At 36.8% G+C, this 24,036-nt stretch overlaps 1 protein-coding gene across 8 annotated transcripts in view, besides 1 other annotated feature; it reads left to right on the top strand.

Moving 5' to 3' along the window:
• The window catches only part of EIF3H (eukaryotic translation initiation factor 3 subunit H), a 124,245-nt gene that overhangs the window by 57,755 nt on the left and 42,454 nt on the right, over positions 1 to 24,036 (top strand). The window lies entirely within an intron of this gene.
• Positions 17,792 to 18,297: an enhancer, noted in NCBI's record as "NANOG hESC enhancer chr8:117702562-117703067 (GRCh37/hg19 assembly coordinates)". NCBI's record gives its function as "activates a minimal SCP1, AML or CMV promoter by ChIP-STARR-seq in naive H9 embryonic stem cells {active_cell/tissue: H9 hESC(naive)}" and the evidence as "EXISTENCE:reporter gene assay evidence [ECO:0000049][PMID:30033119]".

Genomic DNA, 24,036 nt, shown 5'->3' with positions numbered 1-24,036 from the left:
GAATGAATTACACTAATCACAGAATTTAATTTGCTTGATAAATTATCTCACTTGGCCTTTGAACTTGAAATCTTTAAATTTTAATTAGCCTAATATAATTGAATGAAATTTATAGTCATCAATATCAGCACTTTTACTAATTTTCTATACTGTGGAATAGTCTTTTACAGGTATTTATTGGTATCTTTGTTATGTATTTAAGTGACTGCTTTGTCTTGGAAAAATATTCATTTTGATTAGTAAAGGGAAGACTATGAAGGTTTATAATTTTAAGATACTGTTGTCCTTAGCATAGTAATAATAAATAATAATAATAATAATGAGGTGACATTTTGAAAATTTACAATAAGTTGCTTTGTACTTTTATTCATGTGCCCATTATTTTTTGCTGTTTTGATTTTTGAGTACTCTGTTATATTGTTGTAATTTGGCTTGAAGTTTCCAAATTCCGGTGTAACTTAAAGACACCTAAGAATGTTACCGTCTTTTTGGAAGTGACAATCAACAGCCTTTTTGTTTTTCCTGATAAAGGAGAAAAGTATTTTAAAAAGGAAAAGATTTGAATAATGCAAATACTGCTTACCAAGAGTTTGTAATATTATTTTTTTGAGAGTAGGACTGTACTTAAAGTTTTAGAAATTCGTGACTGACTGAATCAGGAAACATGAATTTATATAACAGACAAAGGCATAGAATTAGAAACAAGCATGTATTATGAGCATAGAAAAATGAGATTAGTTAGATCAGAGACTTAGTTCGGGGAATGGTCTGAATAATAATAGGGTCAGATTATGGAAAACTTTGAACTCTTCAAAATGAAGCTTAGATTTGAAGTAGTTGTGAATCATTCTGGGTTTTCTGGCAGAGGTGTGTTGATATAAAACCAATATTTTGTGGCTGAAGGTGGGGAAAACAGATAATGAGGGCTTTACTGATATGTGAACAGTAGCAATGAGAATGAAAAGATGAACACTAGAGAGAGGTAGAAATGACAAAAGATTGAGTAAAAGAGTACACTCATGTTTTAGGGGCTTGACTGAATATTATCAAATAAGTATCTCACGTATGAGATATTTGACTGAATATTATCAAATAACTTTAATACCTCACACATACAGAATTAAATTCCTGTTTGCCTTCCCTTCTATCTTGAATACTTTGTAAAAAGCACCTGTTCTGTGATGATAGTATGTATTACAGAGCAGATGAATAAATGTAAGCTGCTGATAACCAGTGGGGGAATTCCTGTACTTATAACAATATCAACTTCACTAAAATATGAAATATTTAAGGTTTTTCAATTCAGAAATTATAGATATCCTTTTGGACCATTTAAAAAGTACATTCATTATGTGGAGTAGTGAGTCAGTGTAATACGTATGTGGACTGATATTTTTTAGGCCTGTTTTCTGGAGAGAGGATTAATCTTTACTGTCAAGCTCCAAAAGACAGAACTAAGATTACTAAAAGAGAAATAAGATACTTTTTCAACGCAATATTCCATTTATAGGATGGGATTCCGTGGATAATTCTGCCTTGTCTCTGGAATAACATGTTGAAAACGTAGAGGAGAGAGACATTAGTTAACCAAATAAAATACAAGTGCTCCTCAACTTATGATGGGGTCACGTCCCGATAAACCCAGCATTTAATACACCTAACCTACCAAACGTCATAGCTTAGCCTGTCCCACTTTAAATGTATTCAGAACACTTATATTAGCCTACAGTTGTGCAAAATCATCTGACACAGAGCTTGTTTTATAGTAAAATGTTGGCCGGGTGCTGTGGCTCATGCCTGTATTCCCAGCACTTCGGGAGGCTGAGGCGGGCAGATAACATGAGGCCAGGAGTTCAAGATCAGCCTGACCAACATGTCAAAACCCTTGGTGAAACTCCATCTTTTAAAAATACAAAAATTAGCCAGGTGTGGTGGCATTCGCCTGTAGTCTCAGCTACTCGTGAGGCTGAGGCACAAGAATCTCTTGAAACCGGGAAATGGAGGTTGCAGTGAGCTGAGATGGTGCCACTGCACTCCAGCCTGGGTGACAGAGTGAGACCCAGTCTCTAAATAAATAAAATAAATAAATAAATAAATAAAGTGTTAAATATCTCACATAATTTATTGAATGCTGTATTGAAACATGAAAAACAGAGTGGTTATATGGAGTGTTTGGAGAGTCCCTGGAATGGAGATATGCTCAGCTGACACTTGAAAGATAAGAAGTAACTAGCTGTGTGAAGAGAGACAGACGAGGAAAACCAAGTGCTAAAGGCCCTGAGGTGGGAATGAGCTTGACATTGTTCAGGAACTTTCAGAAGGTTAATCTGTCTGAATAAATCCTGCTGAATGAAAACCAAGGGGCTGTGTTCTTCAGAGCTTACAGAAGTTTAGGTTTTATTCTGTAAACTGTAAGAGACTACTAAAAGGTTTTAAGCTATCTGTAGTAATCTAGTTGAATTGATGACTCATCAGCTGTCATCAATGTCTTTATAATTCTGTGACTTAATCTAGGACTTTTCATTTGACATTTGAAATATTTATGGGAACTCAGCTTGGTGATTGGATTTATCGGTGGTAGTGTTTACTCCAAGAAAGTTTATCCATGGCTGCTAGATAACCTTTGTAAACAAGTGTGTCTGGAGTTTTTTTTTTTTTTAAATAAACTTTTTGTTTTGGAATAATTTTAGATTTTACTGAAACGTTGCAAAGATAGTACAGAGTTCCCCTATATCCTTCAACCAGTTTTCCCTTAATATTCCCATCTTATATTACTGAGATACATTAGTTTAAGAAACCAACATTGACATCTTACTGTTAACTTTATCTGGATTTCACCAGTTTTTCTGGTGACGTCCTTTTCTAGGATCCAGTCTAGAATACCACGTTGCGCTGGTTATGTCTCCTTAGGCCCCTCTGGTCTGTGACTGTCTCAGTCTTTTCTTGTTTCCCACCATCTAGGCAGTTTTAAAGAGTGCTGCTTAAGTATTTTGTAAAATGTTCCTCAGTTTGGATATGTTGGATGTATTTTCATGATTAAACTGGAGTTACAGATTTTTGAGAAGAAATCTCAGTGTTGAAGTGCCCCTGTCATTGCATTCTCCTGGGGTGTTGGTGGTGGGGGGGGGTGTAACATGTTACCCACATGGCATCACTGGTGATGCTAACCTTGGTCACTTGGTGAAGGTAGTGTCTAATGTCTTTCTGAGTTACCTTACTATCTTGTGAATCTTTATAACCTAAGGAAGCATTAGGGCATGAATCTTTTGGTTAAGAAATTAGAAATTCATTTCTCTTGGATAAAACAACTTGAACAGCTTTTCTCCTTATATTGATTCTTGCTAATATTTTCATAGTCTGAACAACATGGGTAAATGTATAAATATATTCTGTGCCTTTATCTATAACTTTTTACAAATATCATATGAAAATATGTATATAGGTATCTTGGTCATACTGTTGATTATCTAAATTCATATGGGTGCATTAGGATCCATCTCTGACCGAGTATGAATTAGATGTTGAAGAACATTCTTTGTAGATAATAAGCACTACAGCATCAGGAATGTTTGATACAGCAGTTAGTGTTTCCTGTGGGCAGTGCTACAAAGTGTTATTGGCATAGTTGGTTTCCACTGGAAAGTACCTTTTGTACAGAGGAACTCTCTAGACCTTTACATTTGGTATAATGTACCTTTGGCCACTATCACAGAGTACACTGTCAACGTGAGAGCTACACATTGCATACAATCTATGAAATTATTTAAATAGTTGAAGAAAAAAAAATGCTTGAAATAATTTGCTTTAAAATAGCCGTAAGTAGTTTGTGTTGTAGATACTTGAAATGTATTAGCTTGACCTCTTTTAAACTGTTGAAGTTAAAAATAATAGGAAAAGAAACAGTAAAATTTTAGGGCTATTCCTTTGTTTTCCCTTTTATGCAGTTGTTCTTCAACGTTTATCTGATTATTGACGCCGAGGATATCTTCCTGTTTGTCGATTAACCTTACTCTTCTGTATGTGGAATAAAACAACAACTGTACATGAAGATTTTACTTTTAGTAAAATAGATATTTTTACTAGCTTTTAGGGAGAACACAGCAACAAGAAATTTTTCCCCTCTATCTTTTAAGCTAGAGAAGGTCATTAAAAAGTGAGACTTAGAAGTGAGCAGAGTGGCAAGGCAGTACTCTTGAATGGTATCATCATCCTCGCCATTATTGTACTGGTAATGATAACATTACAGTCACAGTTGTAATTGCTAACATTCGTTGAGCACGTGTCATGTGCCAAACATTGATTGTGTTGAAGACTTGCATGCATTGAATCCATATGGCTCTTTTAAGAGTTGAGTACTGTTACTGTTCCCATTTTACTGAGGGCTAGAGAAGCTAAGTACTTTGTCCAAGAGCCTTTGCTACAATGTATGGAATCAGGATTCAAAGCCTGGGTTCTTAACCACTTTATAGGACACCCTTTTGTTGATTGTTAATTGTCAGGAGGTAGAATGGAGCAGAGTATCAGAATGATAGGCAGAAATGATGTTATGTGGAACGGTTTTTATCTTCTTAGTCTTTAAGTCCCCTAAGGCAGGAGTCCCCAGCCCCCAGGCCACGGACCAGTACTGATCTGTTAAGAACCACGAGTGCTGCCTCCTGTCAGAAAAGCTGTGGCATTAGATTCTCATAGGAGCACTAATGTAGGGTCCAGCCCTACTGGGCCTGTGGGTTTTTCTCTTCGTGTGCAGAGACGAGAGATGGTAGAAATAAAGACACAAGACAAAGAGACAGAAGAAAAGACAGCTGGGCCTGGGGGACCACTACCACCTAGATGTGGAGACCGGTAGTGGCCCCAAATGCCTGGGTGTGCTGTTATTTATTGTGTACAAGACAAGGGGGCAGGGTAAGGAGTGTGAGCCATCTCCAATGATAGGTAAGGTCACACAAGCCATGTGTCCACCGGACAGGGGCCCTTCCCTGTTTGGTAGCCGAGGCGGAGAGAGAGAGAGGACAGCTTACATCATTATTTCTTCTACACATTTTAAAGACTTTAGTACTCTCACTAATTCTGCTACTGCTATCCAGAAGGCGGAGCCAGGTGTACAGAGTGGAACATGAAAGTGGACCGGGAGCGTGACCGCTGAAGCACAGCATCACAGGGAGATGGTCAGGCCTCCGGATGGCTGCGGGCAGGCCTGACATTGCCTTCCACAAGAGGTGGTGGAGCAGATTCTTCTCTAACTCCCCCGGGGAAAGGGAGACTCCCTTTCCCGGTCTGCTAAGTAATGGGTGCTTCCCAGGCATTGGCATTACCACTAGACCAGGGAGCCCTCTAGTGGCCCTGTCCCGGTCTTCTGGTCACTTCTCACCGTGTCCCTTCAGCTCCTATCTCTGTATGCCCTCGTTTTTCCTAGGTTATAATGGTAGAAGAAAGATTATTATTTTGGAATAAAGAATAATACCATAAACTAATAATTAGTAGTATTCATATATAATCATATCTACATTCTACATCTAATACAACTATTCTTATTTTAAGTATCTTCTTTATTATACTGGAACAGCTTTTGCCTTCAGTCTCTTGCCTTGGCACCTGGGTGGCTTGCCGCCCACACGCTAACCCTGTTGTGAGCTGCGCATGTGAGGGATCTAGGCTGCACATTCCTTATGAGAATCTAATGCCTGATGATCTGAGGTGGAACAGTTTTATTCCAAGATCACTGCCACCCCCCACAATCCCCACAACCTTCTATGGAAAAATTGTCCTCCAGGAAACTGGTCACTGGTGCCATGAAGGTTGGGTACCACTGCCCTAAAATGATTTCTAAGGTTTTTAATATGTTGTCCTTTGTTATTCGTACTTGATTTTGGAAATATCTGTACTGTTGTTCTCTGTGCACCCTCCCCCTCCCCAGTGAATCAGCTTATGATGATTAAAATCAGCTTCTCATTGATACCATATTCTTCAGATTAATTCTGATGACCAGTTTATATTATATATTGCTCATCCACTGAGTCCCTACTATGCTAGACACTGTCTAAGGCATGATATAAGGTAGAAACCAGTAAGGTAAATTTCAGGGAGTATGTGAAGCTTGGTTCCTGCTATCTCACTCTGTGGAGTAAGATTTAAATTGGGAAAATTAAAATAATAGGACAAACTTATCACAAGGCAGTACGTGGTTATGGCTAAATGACTGGTATAGGAAATGATTTCAGGAGATGAAGTCACTTCAGCCCTAGGTTGATATGATATATGTGGGATTTGAGGCTGGATCTCCAAGACAAGTAATTCCTGCTTTTCTCTCTGACCTTATTTCTTGACACTACTTCCATTTCTTCTCCCGTTATGCCAGCCATGCTGAATGAACCATTTGTTAACTACACAAACCAAAAATCTGCCTTGTTCCTGGATAGTGGATTATTCTGTTTTCTCTACCCCCTTCCCCATTCCAGCTGATCAACTCCTTCCCATATTTCAAGAGTAAGTTGAGACATTATTCCCAGACTTCACACACGTAACCCCTGGTGCTGACCCTGGCTGCATGTCTCATAGATCATATGCTTATCTCATGATGATTCTTACCAGACTGTATATATTTAAATCTTTTATTTAAAAAAAAAATTTAGATTTACAGAACTTGCAAAGACCATTAACATGTAACCATGATATTTGTCAAAAGTAAGAAATTAGAATTGGTACAGTACCATTAACTAAAATGCAGAATTTATTCAGATTTCTCCAGTTTTCTTACTCATGTTCTTTTTCTGTTGATGTAGGATGCAGTCCGGGATGCCATGTTGGATTTCATTGTATCTCTTTAGTATGTTCCAGTCTGTTTCTTTTCCTAGTTTTTCCTGGCCATGACACTTTTAAAGAGTGCTTGTCAGCTGTTTTATACATTATCTATCAATTTGGGCTTATCTGATGTTTTCTCATGATTGTAGGGAAGAATAATCCCCATGATTTGGGGAATTATACAAGTGAATTGGCCCTTTCATTGCATCATCTCAACATGTCTTAATGATGATGATGTTAACCTTGGTTACTTAGTTTAGGTGGTGACTGCCAGGTTTCTTCACTGAAAAGTTACTTTTTATTCCTTCCCCTACTCTATTACTTAGAATTGAGTCACTAAGTCCAGCCCATAATTAAGAGGAGGGGAATTAAATTCTGTCGCTTGGTGGGAAGGAACATCAAAGAATTTTTGGAGGTATATGAAAAACACCCTACTAATTAATATTATGGGGACTATCACACTATATCTTATCAATTATTATTCACTTCTGCTAGACTGGATACTCACTGAGCTCAGGGGCTGAGATTTATTTATCCCCAATATTTATTGTTAGAATAGTGGAATATAATACATGCCCAATAAAATATTTGTTGAATGGATTAAATGGAGATTGTGAATTGCATACGAAGCTAAAGTAGCTAAATTTAATCCTGTAGGTATAGAACAATATTAACTGAATGATGTGAACCCTCCAGCCCCCCAAAAATTACTGTGTCAGTTTCCTTTGTTTTAAATTTGTTTGAAATTGAGGAATATATTCTTTCCTAAATTTAACACAATATTTAGAAAGTAATTTTTCTTTCTGGCTTTGGAGAACTGATTAGAATAAAGTAATTTAACAATATAAATTTAGACCAGAAGTCTTACTTTATGATTAAAGATAGCTAGTTCAATGTTTTGAGTATACCCTATATTTAGAAGGGTGGACTGACTTGGGAAAGCATATAATTTGTAAGTAAATTAGCAGTGATAGAAAAATTCTTTCCCATTTCTCAAAAAAGGTGTTTAAAAGCATCAATTTATTATGTTTACCCTAACTTTTGCATTACAAATGGACTCCCTGAACCCCAACCATGCTAAATTTAACTTTCATAGTAGTTGCCAGTTTTACTTATGGATGTCTTCCGGCCTCCCTGATCAAACTATATAAATCTTTTTCTTTTCTTTATGTTGCTTGACTCACTAGAAACAGGAACAGTAAGCCATACTTGCATTTGATCTTTGTCTTTTTTTGCTAAATAGTTGGTAAAAAGTAGAGAGGATTTTCCCTTAATAACTTGAAGACTTTAGGACAGAGACGTTCCATCTTTTGGCTCCCCTAGGCCACACTGGAAGAAGAAGAATTGTCTTGGGACACACATAAAATACACTAACACTAGTGGTAGTTGATGAGCTTAAAAAAAAAAGAAAAGAAAAGAAAAAAATCTTATAATGTTTGAAGAAAGTTTACGAATTTGTGTTTGGCTGCATTCAAAGCTGTCCTGGGCCGCAGGTTGTACAAACTTGCTTTAGGAGATGGATTTTAATATTTTGTTTCAGCTGCTATTGCCACCATCCCAAGAAGGTTGAGTTTTCTCTACCTCCATTTTTCCCTAGGCAATTAATTTAGGGAGCTCTTGCTCCAGTGCCAGACTTCTAAGTGGCAACTTGGCACTGTTAAAAATACTGTCTTCTATTTTATTGTTTCCATTAAAAAATAAAAATAAAAAACCTACGGCCGGGCACGGTGGCTCACGCCTGTAATCCCAACACTTTGGGAGGCCAAGGCAGGAGGATCACCTGAGGCCTGGAGTTTGAGACCATCCTGACCAACATGGAGAAACACTGTCTCTACTAAAAAATGCAAAATTAGCCATGGTGGTGCATGCCTGTAATCCCAGCTCTCGGAAGGCTGAGGCACGGGAGTCTCTTGAACCCAGGAGGCAGAGGTTGCAGTGAGCTGAGATCGCACTATTGCACTTCAGCCTGGGCAACAAGAGCGAAACTCCATCTCAAACAAACAAACAAACAAAAAAAACCAAAAAACCTGCACTGTCATTTGCCATTAAGACCCTCACCTTTAGAAGAGAATAATTAGGGCGCCTATGCATTCATTTATATGTATTTATTTTTATAATTTCAATTTCTAGATTCACAGGGTAAATGTACAGATTTGCCACGTGAGTATATTGCATGATGCCAAGGTTTGGGATACAGATGATCCTGCTACCCATGTAGCTGGCATAGTACCCAATGGTTTTTCAACTCTTGTACCCCTCCCTCCCTACCCACTCTAGTAGTTCCTAGTGTCTTCTATTCTCATCTTTATGTCCATAAGTACCCATTTTTTAGCTCCCACTTACAAGTGAGAACATGCAGTATTTGTTTTTCTGTCCCTAGGTTAATTTGCTTAGGATAATGGCATGCATCAGTGTTCATGTAGATTACCTGTTTTAGCAAGATTTAAAGAAAAAGTTTGTTGAATTTAGAGTCAAATGTCTAAAATTTGACAAAAGTTGTTGGGAAATTGAACTCTGAAATGGATGAAAATTGAAGTGTATGTCATGATATCAGTATTTTTTTGTAATTCATATGATACAGTTGAGTAGTTTAAGAATGGTGGACCTATATATAACTCAGTGGATTTAGGCATGTACACCCAAGTAAATATGTGGGTATGTGTGTATTCAATTTTTTTTTTTTTTTTGAGACAGGTTCCAGCTCTGTTGCTGGGGCATGGTCTCAGCATGCTGCAACCTCCGCCTCCCGGGCTCAAGCCATTCTCCCACCTCAGCCTTCAGAGTAGCTGGGACTGCAGGCACATGCCACTACGCCCAGCTAATTTTTGTATTTTTTTTGTAGAGACGGGGATTTGCCATGTTGCCCAAGCTGGTCTCAAACTCCTGAGCTCAAAGATCTGCCTGTCTTGGCCTCCCAAAGTGCTGGGACTACAGATGTCAGCCACTGCACTCTGCCTATATATAAATTTTTAACAGCTCCACCTCTGTTTCTTGCTCTAATGAGCCATTGGTATACAGTGATTTATGTCTCAGTAGAAAAAAAAATCATCTTAAACAATGAAAGTTGGTAGTTGGCAACATTAAGTTGCAGAAAGAGATTGGTAGTGGCAAGAGGTTTTGAAATAGAGGCTATGGCATGGGCAAGGATGCCGAGAGATGCAGGTTATATTAAAATTTAGTCTTTCAGCTTCAGTTTCCTCATCTGTAAAACAGAGACAATTGATATCTACAGCATAACATGTATTAATTGTGATCATTTTGGTCAGGAGTTTGGCTTTTATACTATTGATAGTGGGCAACCATGAAGGCTTTTTGTAAGTATCATGACATTATTTAGATCTGTTTTAAGAAAAAAATAATAGTTGAATGCAAGAAGACTAGTTAGTGGTGGCGGGAATGAAGATGGGGTAGATAGGAGAATGTGGTGTCTACTGAGGAGAGGGGTAATTTTCATTCATGAGTGACATCTAACTTGTCACTCATGACTTGTGGGCCAGGCTCATGAGTATCTGGAAAATTGTACCTTATGCCCCTTTTGAATGAAATGTGTATGGTTTACTTCTTTGAGTATTCCATCTTGTGAAATTTATTTTACATCATATTGATCAACTTGTTAAAGCCATGGTTAAAAAAAAAACTGCTTTTATAATTACTTTGCCTGTGAAATTGTAGCTACCTAGTAGCCATGATAATGGCCCTCGGGTATAATGATCAAGACATAGTCTCTGGAGTTAAACAGACTTGGTGCATTTGAATCCAGTCTGATCCTGAGCATGATAATTCTGCCTACCCTTAAGAGTTGTTCTGAAGTTTAAGAAGGAATGCATAGAATACATTAAGGCAGTGCCTGCCTTTTAGTAAGCACTTAATGTGTAGTAGATATTGTTATTTTTCACAAAAGTCTTGGTACAATTATTAGTTCATTGTGTGTCTGGAAGTATTTGAAGTATATAGGGTATGCCCCCCACTAAAGCATAATTTAACTTAATCAATTGAGATGCTCATCAAATTTCAAGACCAATCTTTATTCAGTAGACTAATTTGCATTGCATAATTCAAAGTAATCAGGGCCAGTTGAAATTTAGAAGCTTTTAAAAGAGAATAATATTTAATAAGAACAAATAAAAGTTTAGGCCCTCAGGGAAGAAACATAAACCATTACTCAGTGTGAAGAGGACAAGCTCAGCTAGAGGTTTCTGGTAAGGGGGGTAAACATAAATTTGTAACATAATGCAGTGGGAATCTCACCTCTTTATAGTGGCTTTAAGGAATATAGGGATAGCGGCTTGAGTACAGAGTAGGTTGTGGTCATCCCTACAATTTCAGTGTAATTCAAAAGCTGACTGGTGAAAGGACTGGACTTCTTTGTTCCCAGTCATTAAGAAGATGTAGGTAGTAAAACAGTGGAGGAAAGCAAGCAAGTTTGTCAGCACCTGACACTGACCAGCAATTGGGTTGGTGAAAGCAGCAATAGTTCTTCAGTATCCCATATGTTTGCAAGCAGGCATGCAATTTTTTTCTTTTTACACTTTAAGAAAACCCCTAAAAATCTATTCTTTTTTTGTTTCTTCTGATTTCATCTAGGCCCAGTATTTCCTTTGGGGTGATCTGTCAACCCCTGGAAAAAGGGACAAGCACACACAGGAGAAGAGGCACAGGTTTGGGAGGGAAGGGAAGCAGAATTTGGTTGGACACTAAGAGAGTGAGATTCACCAGGGACAGCTGGGTGGTGATGGAGGCCTCTCAGGAGAGAGATCCCAGCTGGAGAGGTGAGCCAGGGCTGTCCACAGTGAGACTACTGTTATCTCTGTGCCCTAATTGTATTAACATGTAATATGGAGAGGGTTGGTGTCCTAGCTTTTTTTGTTTGTGTACATGTTCTGCCTTAACTGTTGGTTTTGTGTTTTCTTTTACAAAAGTTTTGTCACCTGTGCTTTTGACTTTTTTGTGTGTGCAGGGCTGTTCTGCCTCATATGTTTTGTAGTCAAACTTGTACTTTATCATTTTGCCCTTACAAATTATTTAGATTTTATTCCTCGAGAAGACTAAGCATGATACAGGGAATAAATAAATGAGTACTCAGTAGAGATTCAATATCATGCTAACAACAACAAAAAAAAACCCCCACTATTTTGTAAGTATTCTGAAGCCTTAGTCATTGAACTCTGTATTTTAGGCAGAAATAAATTATTTCAAAAACAGTATGTTTAGTGCATTGGAATCTGATCCTTGATGCAGTCATGAAGTATGCCTATCTTCTTTCAAACCTCAATCATTATTCCTAATTATTAGTTGTATTATAGAGCTAGTAAACTTTAAATAGTCTCAGGAAAGAACCATTCCCAAGTATTTTATGGGGAACTTTGTAACTATTCTCTTTTAAGAAATTTTCAATTTAGTCATGTATCTATATAATTTTCAATTTAGTCATGTAGCTGTATAAACTTATGGTTTCCTGTTTTATTCAGTGGGCTATTAACAAGTTACTGTCATTATTTAATTTTCAGTTTATCCCCAGTTTGATCAGTGGAATCCCATTCAAGGTAGCTTGTGCCCTTTTGCAATGTTTCCATCAATTATTTGAGCATTTCTCACTCTTTGGCATAATGTAATGTTCCAGGCTCATTTTGTACCTTCCCTGTCCCATCTCTGGATTCAGTCATTTCTAAGGAGCCCTAGATCGTCCAAGAGAAGAATGGTATTTAGATGCCAAGAACACCCTGAGCATGCTCATTGCTCTTGGGATATTACTACTTGAAGGGCTTTTGAGCTGACTGAGCATGTATTTGAATATACAAATAACACACAGATAAACACATTTACATCTGTATTTCTGTATTTATTTATATTGAAAACCATGAGTTTACACTGATAGCTCCAACTCCAGTTCATTACAACTGAGTTTATTCTACTTTTCTCCCTTTTCATATTTGTAATTCCCTTCTCTGATAGTGAAACACTTGTTCATATTATTCTTAATACATTTATTTATTTGGTTAATTTCCTTTTTATGTAACTAATTTATTTCTGCTCCCAAGCCTTTTCCTGTTCAGATGCCCTCCCCACCTTGCTCAGTCTCTGACTCCACATACCATCCCACTTGGGCTTTGAAGACCCATGCCAGGCCTCATGCATGGGTTGCCCTGCCTTCCTTACCCTGCTCAGATGCTGACTCCTTGTGCTATTCCTCCTCCTATCCCCAATACCTTCCTCACTTTACTGAGTCTCTGAATCCCCATGACAACCACTATCTTATGAGTATTCCTTTCTTGCATGGTCTAGTCTCTGACACTGTAAAGTGGACAGGCCTCCTACTTTGATACCCTACTTACCTGGTTGGGCTGCAACACTGCTCTGAGCCATTGCATTTTCTTCTCCCACCAAGCTGTAGACCTTTTCTTCAGAAAAAAATGTACCTGTGTGCCAAGTTATGCATAAGAATTCAGGAGCAGTGGGCGTGGTGGCTCTGCAATCCCAGCACTTTGGGAGGCCAAGGTGGGCGGATCCTTTGAGGCCAGGAGATCCAGGAGTTCGAGACTAGCCTGGCCAACATGGTGAAACCCCATCTCTACTAAGAAATACAAAAATTAGCCGGGCGTGATGGGGCATGCCTGTAAACCCAGCTACTTGGGTGGCTGAGGCACGAGAATTGGTTGAACATGGTGGTGGAGGTTGTAGTGAGCCTAGATTGCTCCACCACACTCCAGCCTGGGCGACAGGGTGAGACTCTGTCTCAAAAAAAAAAAAAAAAAAAGAATTAGGAAGTTTACCTTAGTTTTTTTTGCACTACATCATTTTGTTGCTGCTGCTTTGTTTCACTTTCTTTTTAAAGACAGCGGGCAGGACCATGGGATAAACAGAGGAAGTATGGAGATACATTTTTATTTTCTTATTCTCTGTTACTATGTTGGAATACAGCTATACAAGTCAGTTCTGTCTCATTCTTCCTTCTTTAAGGGATTACACTATCTGCCTTGCTAGTATATGTCTTCATCTCCTGTAGTATGTATCTCCATCTCTCCTGAAGATAATTTAGTGTTAAGAAAACTTCTTTTGGTAGAAGTTATAGATCTTTTCAAAAATAATTTACATGTAGGTCAGACATTTCAACATAAAACAAAAAAATTGTGAAACAGTTAAAGGAAAACATGAATGATTTCACCGCAGTGTGAGACTAGATATGACCTTTCTATGTATGACACAGAACCCAGAAGGCACAAAATAAATGGTCTATACCTAAAACAAATAAAAGTAAAACAAATCTGTATGGCAAAATGAAAGAGAATTATCGCAATTTAGCACTGGCAAAAGGCTAAATTTTTAATATATGAATGATTTTTTTACTAATCAAATTGAGAAGGAAAACAAACAAACAGACCAGTGGCCACAGCAGGCCAAAGATGGTTTAGACAGTTCACAAGAAAAGATACAAATGGCACTTACATGTGTAAAATGATGCCCAACCTTATTCATAATGAAAGAAATGCAATTTCAAATTATAACAAAACATGACATTTCACACTTTAGATTTGCAAAGATTAAAAGTTTTATAGCATGATGAATTTGACAGACACTGGAGGGAAACAAGACACACTCATGTACTGCTGATTGCTGATGGGAGTTTAAATTGGTACAAACTATGTGAAGAGAAGTTTGGCAATGTAAAAAAAAAAAAAAGGTTTGCTCATAATTCTTGACCTTGCAGTTTCTCTGAAAGGAATTTGACTTACTCATATTCATATACATATGTAAAGTGATATACATACAAGAGTATTATAGGAATGTTTAATATCAGAAGATTGAAAAAATCTTAACGCTCACCAGTAGGAGAATGATTGAAATATGATACATCTGGCCAGGTGTGACAGCTCATGCCTGTCATCCTAGCACTTTGGGGGAGACCAAGGCAGAAGGATCTCTTGAGGCCAAAAGCTCAAGGCCGGCCTGGGTAACACAGAGTGACCCCGACTCTACACAAAATAGCCACGTGGTGGTGCACTCCTGTAGTCCCAGCTCTTTGGGAGGCTGAGGCGGGAGGATCCCTTAAGGAATTCAGAGCTGCAGTGAGCTATGACCATGTCACTGTATTCCAGCCTGGGAGACAGAGCAAGACCCTGTCTCTTAAAAAAAAAAAGAAATGTACATAAACTGGAAAGAGTGGTTACCTCTGTATGAGAGAGATACCAGTGGGAGGGAGACCTAGTTTTCAGTCTGTACTGAATTTTGAAACATAGGTTTCCATTTAAAGTGCCACAGTGGACTGTTGACATTAACAGATTTATCATTCTTACTTCCAGCATGGTGACAGAATATATAATCATTTGGTGAAATTAGCTTAGCATGCCACCCAGTTCAACATTTAACTTCTACTTATCAATGCAGCAGTGTGTTTCTCTATTTGTTACCACGTAGGTGGTGCCATTTTAAAAGTGATTGAAACTTTATTTCTGGAAAAAAAAATGGCCCTGAAGAGTAGCACTCCTCACTCTTAAGGAGCTCACTCTGTTGAGCTAACAAGCAGTTGCTAAAATTTTCTGATGTCAAATGATACTTAGTTATAAAATTAAGAATGTAGTTTCCTAAAAATTGAATGTTCTTTATATTTCAGTTATACTTTAGGTCTATTTGATTATTTAACATAACTGAATTTAGTACTTTGACTTCCAAATATATTCCTGCCTTATTGTCACTGAAAGGGAAAAACTTACTTAGGGTTCAGGAAGGATAACATTTTTATTTAATTATATGCTTTTCAGGATATGAACTTTGAGTATTTAAAGATTTGGGTTATAAAAAATCTTCTCTACAAAGTAAGTTACTTTGGCATATATAAATTAATTCCATTTTATTCCCAAGTGGAAAGATCAGGAAGTATGGTATTGATACAAAGATAAAATTAATTTATATTGATACAAAGATAAAATTAAGCTTTGTGCCAGTTAGAAGAACTTGGGGCTTATTAAGAAAATAGCTTCTCAACAGATTGTGAAAACCAGCTGAAGGCTTGTTGTTTTCTTAGTGTCTCAAATTTGATATTAAACTACTATTTTAATATTTTAGTTTGGAGAATAAACTCATTAAACATTACGAATACAGTCTTTTAAAATAAATGTCTGAGTGCCACAATATAAAGTGAAAATATAATCTGAGTGGAAGGAAAGGGGTTTGTTTTCTGTAGGACAAACTGTACTTTTCCTGAGTGTTCTTTAATTGTGCTGTGAAATCCTGTCTTAATTAAGTAAGTCTCAGTCATTTATCGTATGAAAGCACTCTCTAAATGTTTTGCTCAAGTTCCAGTTAGGTTAGATTTTAAAACAATATTTACCTTTATTCAGAGTTAATAAGCTAGGTGGTCTTTTCTCTAAATTAGAAGATTTAATTGGTCTTTATCATATTGATGCTTTTTTTTAATATAATCAAGGCCCTAGAAAAATATGTAGCTTGTATTTTTGTAAATATATAATCTTTTAAATGTGCTGAGAATTTTCTATTGAGAGGAATCTTGGGAAGGTCTTTATAAAGTGAATGGTAATGGTTCTTTTCTCCCAGTTTCTTCTGGGTTATTTCATATTATTGAAATTGTGGAATTATTGGAGTTAGGGAGTCTTTCAGAGTGCCTGCAGAGTTGCATGTGTATCTGTCTATGCTTACCCCTGTAGTCTGTTAGATTTAGTTCAGTCCAATAAGTAAAAGAAGGTAGTGCCAGAGTGGGATCCTAGGAAGGATTTCTTGGGAGATTGGTAATCTAGAAAGCTGTACTACTTAAACTGACAACAATGTGAAACAGTGAGCATTTGGGAAGAGGGAAGTTTGTATTAGTGTTTGCACAAGCTATCAGAAAACTTCTGTTCCAGGAGGAATAACATAAAAGGTAATTGTGTCTAACCCAGAAAACCTTAACATTCAAAATAGAAACTTTAAATGTTGTACCTCCTCTTTTTTTTTTTTTTTTGAGACAGTCTTTCTCTGTCACCCAGGCTGCAGTGCAGTGGCGTGATCTCTGCTTGCTGCATCCTCCGCCTCCTGGGTTCAAGCAATTCTGCTTCAGCCTCCCAGGTAGCTGGAATTACAAGCGTGCACAACTACACCCAGCTAATTTTTGTATTTTTAGTAGAGACGGGCTTTCGCCATGTTGTCCAGGCTGGTCTCGAACTCCTGGCCTAAAGTGATCCTCCTGCCTTGTCCTTCTAAAGTGCTGGGATTACAGGTGTGAACCATTGTGCCTGGCCTAAAAGGGCATTTCTTTTATAGGCTTTTTTTTTTTTCCTATTAAAATAGAGCTTCCTGTTGGTGGTATTTTGAGGCAAAATTTAGATGACTGAAGAACATGGTATGTCAGGCAGAAAATGCATGGGGATTATGTAGTACATATTAACTGACCAAAGGAAACAACACTTGAGAGTCCATATATTTGGGATGTCTTGGGGCTTTTTAGACAGAGTAATACCCAGCACCTCCCCCCACTCCTCTTCCCCCAGGTTTGTAGGAGCTTGGGGAGTGAGTCAAAACCAAAAGGTGGCATTTGGTCTTGAACTGCAGTCAGCTGTTAGTACTGCTGGCAACATTTCTTTCAAAGTGTGGTATATGTGTGTTTCTTGTGGATGCAGTCTGCAAATGGATTGTTATTTATGAATGGTAAATTAAAGTTGTTTTTACATTTCCTAACTAAGTAGTTTAACCAATGTTTGCTCTCATTGGGAGTTGCCATCAAACTTAGTAACGTAGTAAACTGTGTTTGAGCTAGGGTTATAAAATGCCCCTTTGATCTAAGAATACTGAGGGGCAACAGAGTTGACTGAACAGTAAGCATTAGGGTTGAATGTATTCCCAGAGACAGAGCAGTATCACTGATTTTGGTGAAAATTAGTATGGACTTAGCCATGATACATTTTCATTTTGCTTATCAGAGCCTTTAATGTGTTGAGAATAATGGGTTTCTGATTCATTTGCTTAATTTAACAGAGGAAAAGTATTTTCTACCTGTTTTTACTTTTTATTTAAAATGAGTGCAGAGAGCAGAGATAATCTTTGAATATTTGCTGTGTGTGATTATAGTAAGCATTTTTTCTTCTACATACTGAGAATTATAAGAAAAATACATTATAATTAGATCCTAATGTCAATCACACCTGGAAGTGGCAGTTAGGATCAAAGTAATGTTATAGCAGTCTACAAGGATTAGTACATTCTGTGCCCCTTTTCCTAGGCTTAAATGTCTGCTATTACAGCCTTTTCAGTAAGTGCCTTAGCTCAGTTAGAACTTCTTTTCAAATTGTTTTGTTTTGTTTATTTAGAGATGAGGTCTCACTGTGTTGCCCCAGCTGGTCATGATCTCCTGGGCTCAAGCAGTCCTCCTTCCTCAGCCTGCCAAAGTGCTGGGATTACAAGTGTGAGCCGCTCTGTCCAGCCCATTCTTTTCAAACTTTATGGGTTTTTTTTTTTCTAGTTTATTTCCAATAACCATTATTACTGGTGGGGTTGAGGGGTAAAGGAAGAGAGGACCTGTTTTTCTTTTGAATTGTATTAGCCCTTCAATCTGATAGTTTTATATTGCTGTATTTTCTGTAATAGAGCATGTGACTCTAGTAGTTTCTGCTGTGTGGTCCATCAGAGGTTTGTCATCTCTGAGATCTATGCTAGCTCTTTGCTTTCACTTAACACAAAATAGTAGAATAGTAGGAAACAGAAAAGAATGAGCGGAGAGCCAGTATGGAGAAGGACCTGAGACGTGGTATCCTCTGAAAAAACAGATATGACTGACTTTTAGAAATAATTCTAAATGTGGAAATTATTTTAAGCAGGTATTAAACTGATAGGGATTATTATAGATACGAATATGTTATTATATATGGGAGGGGTAGATATGGCATTATCAAGCCACCAGCTCTCAAACCTCTTGCATCTTTTGGGTTGTGTTCATATGATATATACTTTTCCTATTGTGCCATTCATTTTACTCATACTAGTTAACTAAAATTCAGGAAATCTGACCTTTCAATGTGATAGAGCCTCTGACTACATTTGAGTTTTTAATAAATATAAACATGGTTTCCAGCGTTCTTGATGATTTTGTAATAGCAATGCATTGGTTTTAGTACTTTGATTAATGAACTTGTATACAACCCATATTACTGAGCTCTTTTATATTACACTTATTTTCTTTGGCTTTAGTTTTTCTTGGTTCTTAAAAATAGTCAATTGTAATTAATTGTTAGATGAAAAGAATGAAACCTGTTTCTGCATTCTGCTCATGGATGCTTTTTATATACTTAATTCAGAAATCTATAGTTATTAAAATATATAATTTGAATCTGCATTATTATTTCTAAACAGTTGGGGGTAAAACATTACCCTCACTTGTATTGAAATATTTTACACATTATTTTTTGACAGTTTTATTGAGGTGTAATTATTATACTCTATAGTTCACCCGTTTAAAGTGTACAATTCTGTAGCTTTTAGTATATTCACAGATAAGTGCATCCATCGCTAGCGTCAATTCTAGAGTATTTTCAGCAGCTTAAAGAGAAACCCCATCACCCTTCCTTCCCAGTCTCTGGTATCCTCAAATCTACATTCTGTCTTTATGAGTTTGCCCTTTCTAGATAACTCATGTAAGTGGAATTATACAATATTTGTCCTTTTGTCTCTGACTTATTTCACTAAAATGATCTTTTCAAGGTTCATTCATAGTGCAGCATACATCAGAACTTCGTTCCTTGTTATTGCTGAGTAGTATTCCATTAAATGTATGTAAGTAATACGTTTTTGTTATTCATCTGAACATTTGCCTATTATGAATAATGCTGCTGTAAATCTGTGTGTACAAAATTGTGTGGACATTGCTTTCATTTCTCTCGGGTATATTCCTAGGAGGGAATTGCTGGGTCATATGGTAACTCTACATACAATCCCTTTAGGAAGTGCGAAGCTGTTTTCCAAAGCAGTTGCACCATTTACACGTTTCTATTATTTTTTAAATCAAGATACTACCCATTAGTTTTTATTACTTCTCGTATTCTATTTAAAAACTTTTTGTTGCAAAAGATATTTACAAGAGAAGTGCATCAAACAGATGCACAACTTAATAATTATGAAGCAAATATCTATGTAACCATTACTTTGGTCAAGAAATAGAACATAGGTAGCACCATGGATTCTCCCTGAGTGTTCCTGTTGCTCCCCCTTATTTTCAGGTAGCCAGTATATTGACTTTCATGAAACTCAGTTTTCTGTAGTTCTTGCAGCAGTGTTTACATGCATTATGAATTTAATTTTGTTGGTTTTTAAACTTTATAAATGTAATGACAGTATATCTTTTATGTCTTGCTTCTTTTACTCAGCATTGTTTGTGGGTTCATTTTCTGTAGTTCATTTTTCATTGCTATATCCTTTGTTATGAATATATCACATTTTATTTTTTCATTCTACTGTCAATAGGGATTTTGGCTGTTCCCATTTTTTATGTAAAATTTCTAGATTCTTTTAAAGCCCTGTATATGTCAGAACATTTGTATGCTGAAATTGTCCTATAGAGCTAGCCATTTCACAGCCCTTATCTAAGGTCTGAATACCAGAGAGATAAGACAACATTCTGTGTTTCAAGCATATTGCATATTCTGTAGAAGGTATTTCACTACTGTCTAGCTTGTGGTAAGCTTGTCAGTAGTGGCTTGTTGCAAAATTTTTGGAATGTTTCCCTTAGAATTCAGGTATGTTTCTACAATTTTCCCCAATAATGTATCTTACATAAGTGAAGGAAATTATGAGTTAAATTGGACTGTTCAATATGATTTTTATCTTCAGATTGTTTCTTTGCATTGGTAGTAACACTTTATTGTTTTGAACTTAAGCTGTGGTCAATATTTAGAAGGCCGGGACCTTCTAAAGTACTTTATTTTTTTACAAATATTCTTAGCTTGTGTCATTAAGGATATGCTGACAGTAGTCAGAACTGATTCATTCTAGATGGGTATCTTGGACATTTCAGGTTGCTTATTTAAATGAATGATTGCTTTCATGATGCTGTTTCTAAGTATCTTTAAAAGGAATCATGGAGTACACAAATAACTTAGCAACCCTCATTGTTAGAGATTTTTTTTCTTTAAATTTAGATGGTTTACCATAGATTTGAAAATTATTTCAGAAATGAAAGCAGCATTGGAAATGATGCAGTTTTAAAATCCTATAAAAATGCCCCAAATTAAACAAATGTTTCCTGACCCTTCATAAAGCACAAACAGACAAATCAATTTTTTGTGAATTCCTACTTTTGTCTTTATGTGATACAGTAATGAAACAATGTAATCATAAATTGTAGCAGTTATTTAAAAATTTGGAGATTACACTGTTGATTTGTGAATTTAGTGCCATCAATTTGTGATTTGCTTTTCTTTTGCTGAAGCTCCAAAAGTTTCAGCAAGTAAGATGGAGATTTTTAGTCATTTTTGTGAATGTGTAAACTTTGTTGATTCTTAATAATTGAATTTGTTTTGCAATATTCCTTTAGTACTGTATCTGGCCTAAAATTCTTCCTGGAATTTTGATGTTTTCTTGTTGATGCACTTTTCCATGAGCCCCTTTTAAAGGTAACACATACAGTTCTTGCTTATATTCCAGTTTTCATGCTAACTGCCTATTCACATTTCCTAACTCCAGGCTTTCATTATCATCTTGTGCATGAATTACTGCAGTGGCCTCTTACTGGGTTTCCTCATCCAAGTCTTTTCCTTTTTAGTCCATCCTCTGTTCCTAGGTAATGTCTTACAGCAGAAGTTTGAGTGTCACTCTTCAACTAAACCCTTGTCTGACACCTTCTTGCCAGTTCAGTAAAGTCTAAGTTTCCCTGGCCTGTGGCCCTTTGAGATAATGGCTCAGGCCTGCCTTCCCAGCTTTATTTTTTATTCTTTCTCCTATATATAGTATAAGATTGTTTGAAGATTACCCTAAAAATTTATCCACATTTTTATCCCTTTGCACAGTGGTTTCCTCTGGCTGAAATACTGCTTTCACTTTTTATTTTTTATTTTTTTGGCCTGGCAAACTCTTGCCCATCCCGCAAAACCTAGCAGAGGTATCATTTCCTCTGCAAAGCCTTTCCTAATTCCCCTGTCCCCACAGTCATCCCCTTTGCATTAATTCTGTACCCTACAACCTGTTGATCAGCTGGTATTGTTTATGTGGCTTTTTTTTTTTTTAAACATACTCTGAACTGCTCAGAGGCAAGGAATGTGTCTTAATTTAGCTGGCTGTGTCAGCTTTTACCATAGATCCTAGAAACAGAGCTAAGTGCTCAGGAAATACTGGCAGAAATCAAGAACTGGAGTTGGGACTGACTCTGTAATGACTGATGACTATCTTTCCACAACCTTTTTATTTTTATTGTAATATGGATGACTCGAGCACGTTTGGTCTCCAGGGTTTGTAGATTGTATTATTCTTTCTGATAAGTAGGTAGTCAGGATATCCACAGACACACAAAACTCATTCCATGGAGCTTATCATTGACTTTGAACTTGATGTAAAATCAACTCCTGATGAGATGCTTTTATATTTGAAGTAATAATGTTTTGATTCAGAATATAGAGCCCAAAATAAGCTTCATGAGTAGCGTTTGTAAACTGTTGTGTAAGGCTTTTGTGATTAGTATAGTCCAGTAGGGAAGGGATAGAAGTATTCTTTCTCTTCATTGATGACTTCCTATGTTTAATAATAGGATTAGTTTGTAATTGTATTCTCTTTTCTACTGTCAGTAAAGTTTATTGTATTAAAATGCTGGGTAAAATCCAGTGTCTTTTTCATGGGTACTAATGGAAGTAGCTGATAGTGTGAGGTGATGGAAACATTTTATTTCTAAACACTTTTCAGTTTGCCGTTGATTTCTATTACTGTAGGAGACTGATCCTTCACAGCTGTCAGAAAATCCAAGTAGGTTCTTCTCCTGCTGTGCAGATCTTTCCTTGTTTGGGAACCTTTCATGACACAGTAGGGGCTTTTAAAAATGTCACAAATGTAAGGCAATTTATACTGAAGTAAGCGTAGAATTTGGTTGTTGCTGTTTATGGTCGAAAATTGAAAGTTAAAAACAAATGGAGGAGCAAGGCTGCTGAGCATTGTGTGCCTTTTGAGTTAATAATGCCATCTCTCCTGGTCACCTGGACTTGCTCAGTTTTTCTTTCCTATTTCTTCTGCTCCAAATTCTTTTACTGGTGGGTTGAAAAATAAAAGCAGAATAGATTGATGAATCACAGACAAGCAACAGCATACATCCTGTCTTGATGAATGCCTAGGTTAGTATATTTGGGGAAGGGATGTAATCAGCAGTCATATGGGAGAAGCAGTCTATTGAACAGCTACGTGTTCTGAACCGAAGTATACTTATTATAAAACTGTTTCTCCAAATACTGTGTGAGGCTCAGTGTTAACACATTGCTGAGAAGAAAGTATTCTGTGGCTGAAGAACAGGCTTCTTGCTACCTAGTTCTTTCTTATGCTTTTACTGTTTAACACGGAGATTGCAGCTCTCACATTGCACACTAACCTTAGTAGCAGACATAATCCTGAGGCATGTTACACGTTTCACCAGATGTTCTGTTTCTCTGTAGGGTATCCTCCTGGTTAGTTTCTTACATCAAACATCATAAGAAATCAGAATTTGAAGTTTGTTTTACACACATAAGAGAGGGAGAACACACAGTCTTGTATAACCTAAAGACGGAGTGATTTGCATAATATCAATATCAAATAAGTTGTGCTACAGCTACATTTTATAAATATTTTTCTGATTCATATTGCATCTATACTCTGTATGAAAACATTGGGGAAAAATACCTTTTAAGAAGTATCCCTTACGAATAAATAGTAAATTAGTATTCTTTCTTGACTGTACAGCAAATATTTATGATTTACATACTCCTTCCAAAAAAGCATTTGAAGCAGATATGAGTTTCTTGTTAATATGACAATTTAAAACATTTTATAATTGAACAAATTGTGGATATTCCTAATGATAACATCTGCAGGATGTTGATTTATAAACACTGTAAAATGCTGTGTTGTTTTGATGCTATGCATATTTCCTGTAGTGTATGTGTACAGTTCAAAAGAATTATTTTCTTATCTATTTCCTTCAATCTTTGAATTTTAGCCCTGGTCATAATTCTGAGTCTGGAAAAGATTTCATGATATTCCAGATTTCTGTGTTTTTCCTTCCCATCAATAATTGTCTAGCAGTTTTAT

This window comes from Homo sapiens, chromosome 8 (assembly GCF_000001405.40).
Source record: "Homo sapiens chromosome 8, GRCh38.p14 Primary Assembly".
Lineage (NCBI taxonomy): Eukaryota > Metazoa > Chordata > Mammalia > Primates > Hominidae > Homo > Homo sapiens.
The sequence above is the reverse complement of the archived record's forward strand: the minus strand, read 5'-3'. Positions and strand labels throughout refer to the sequence as shown.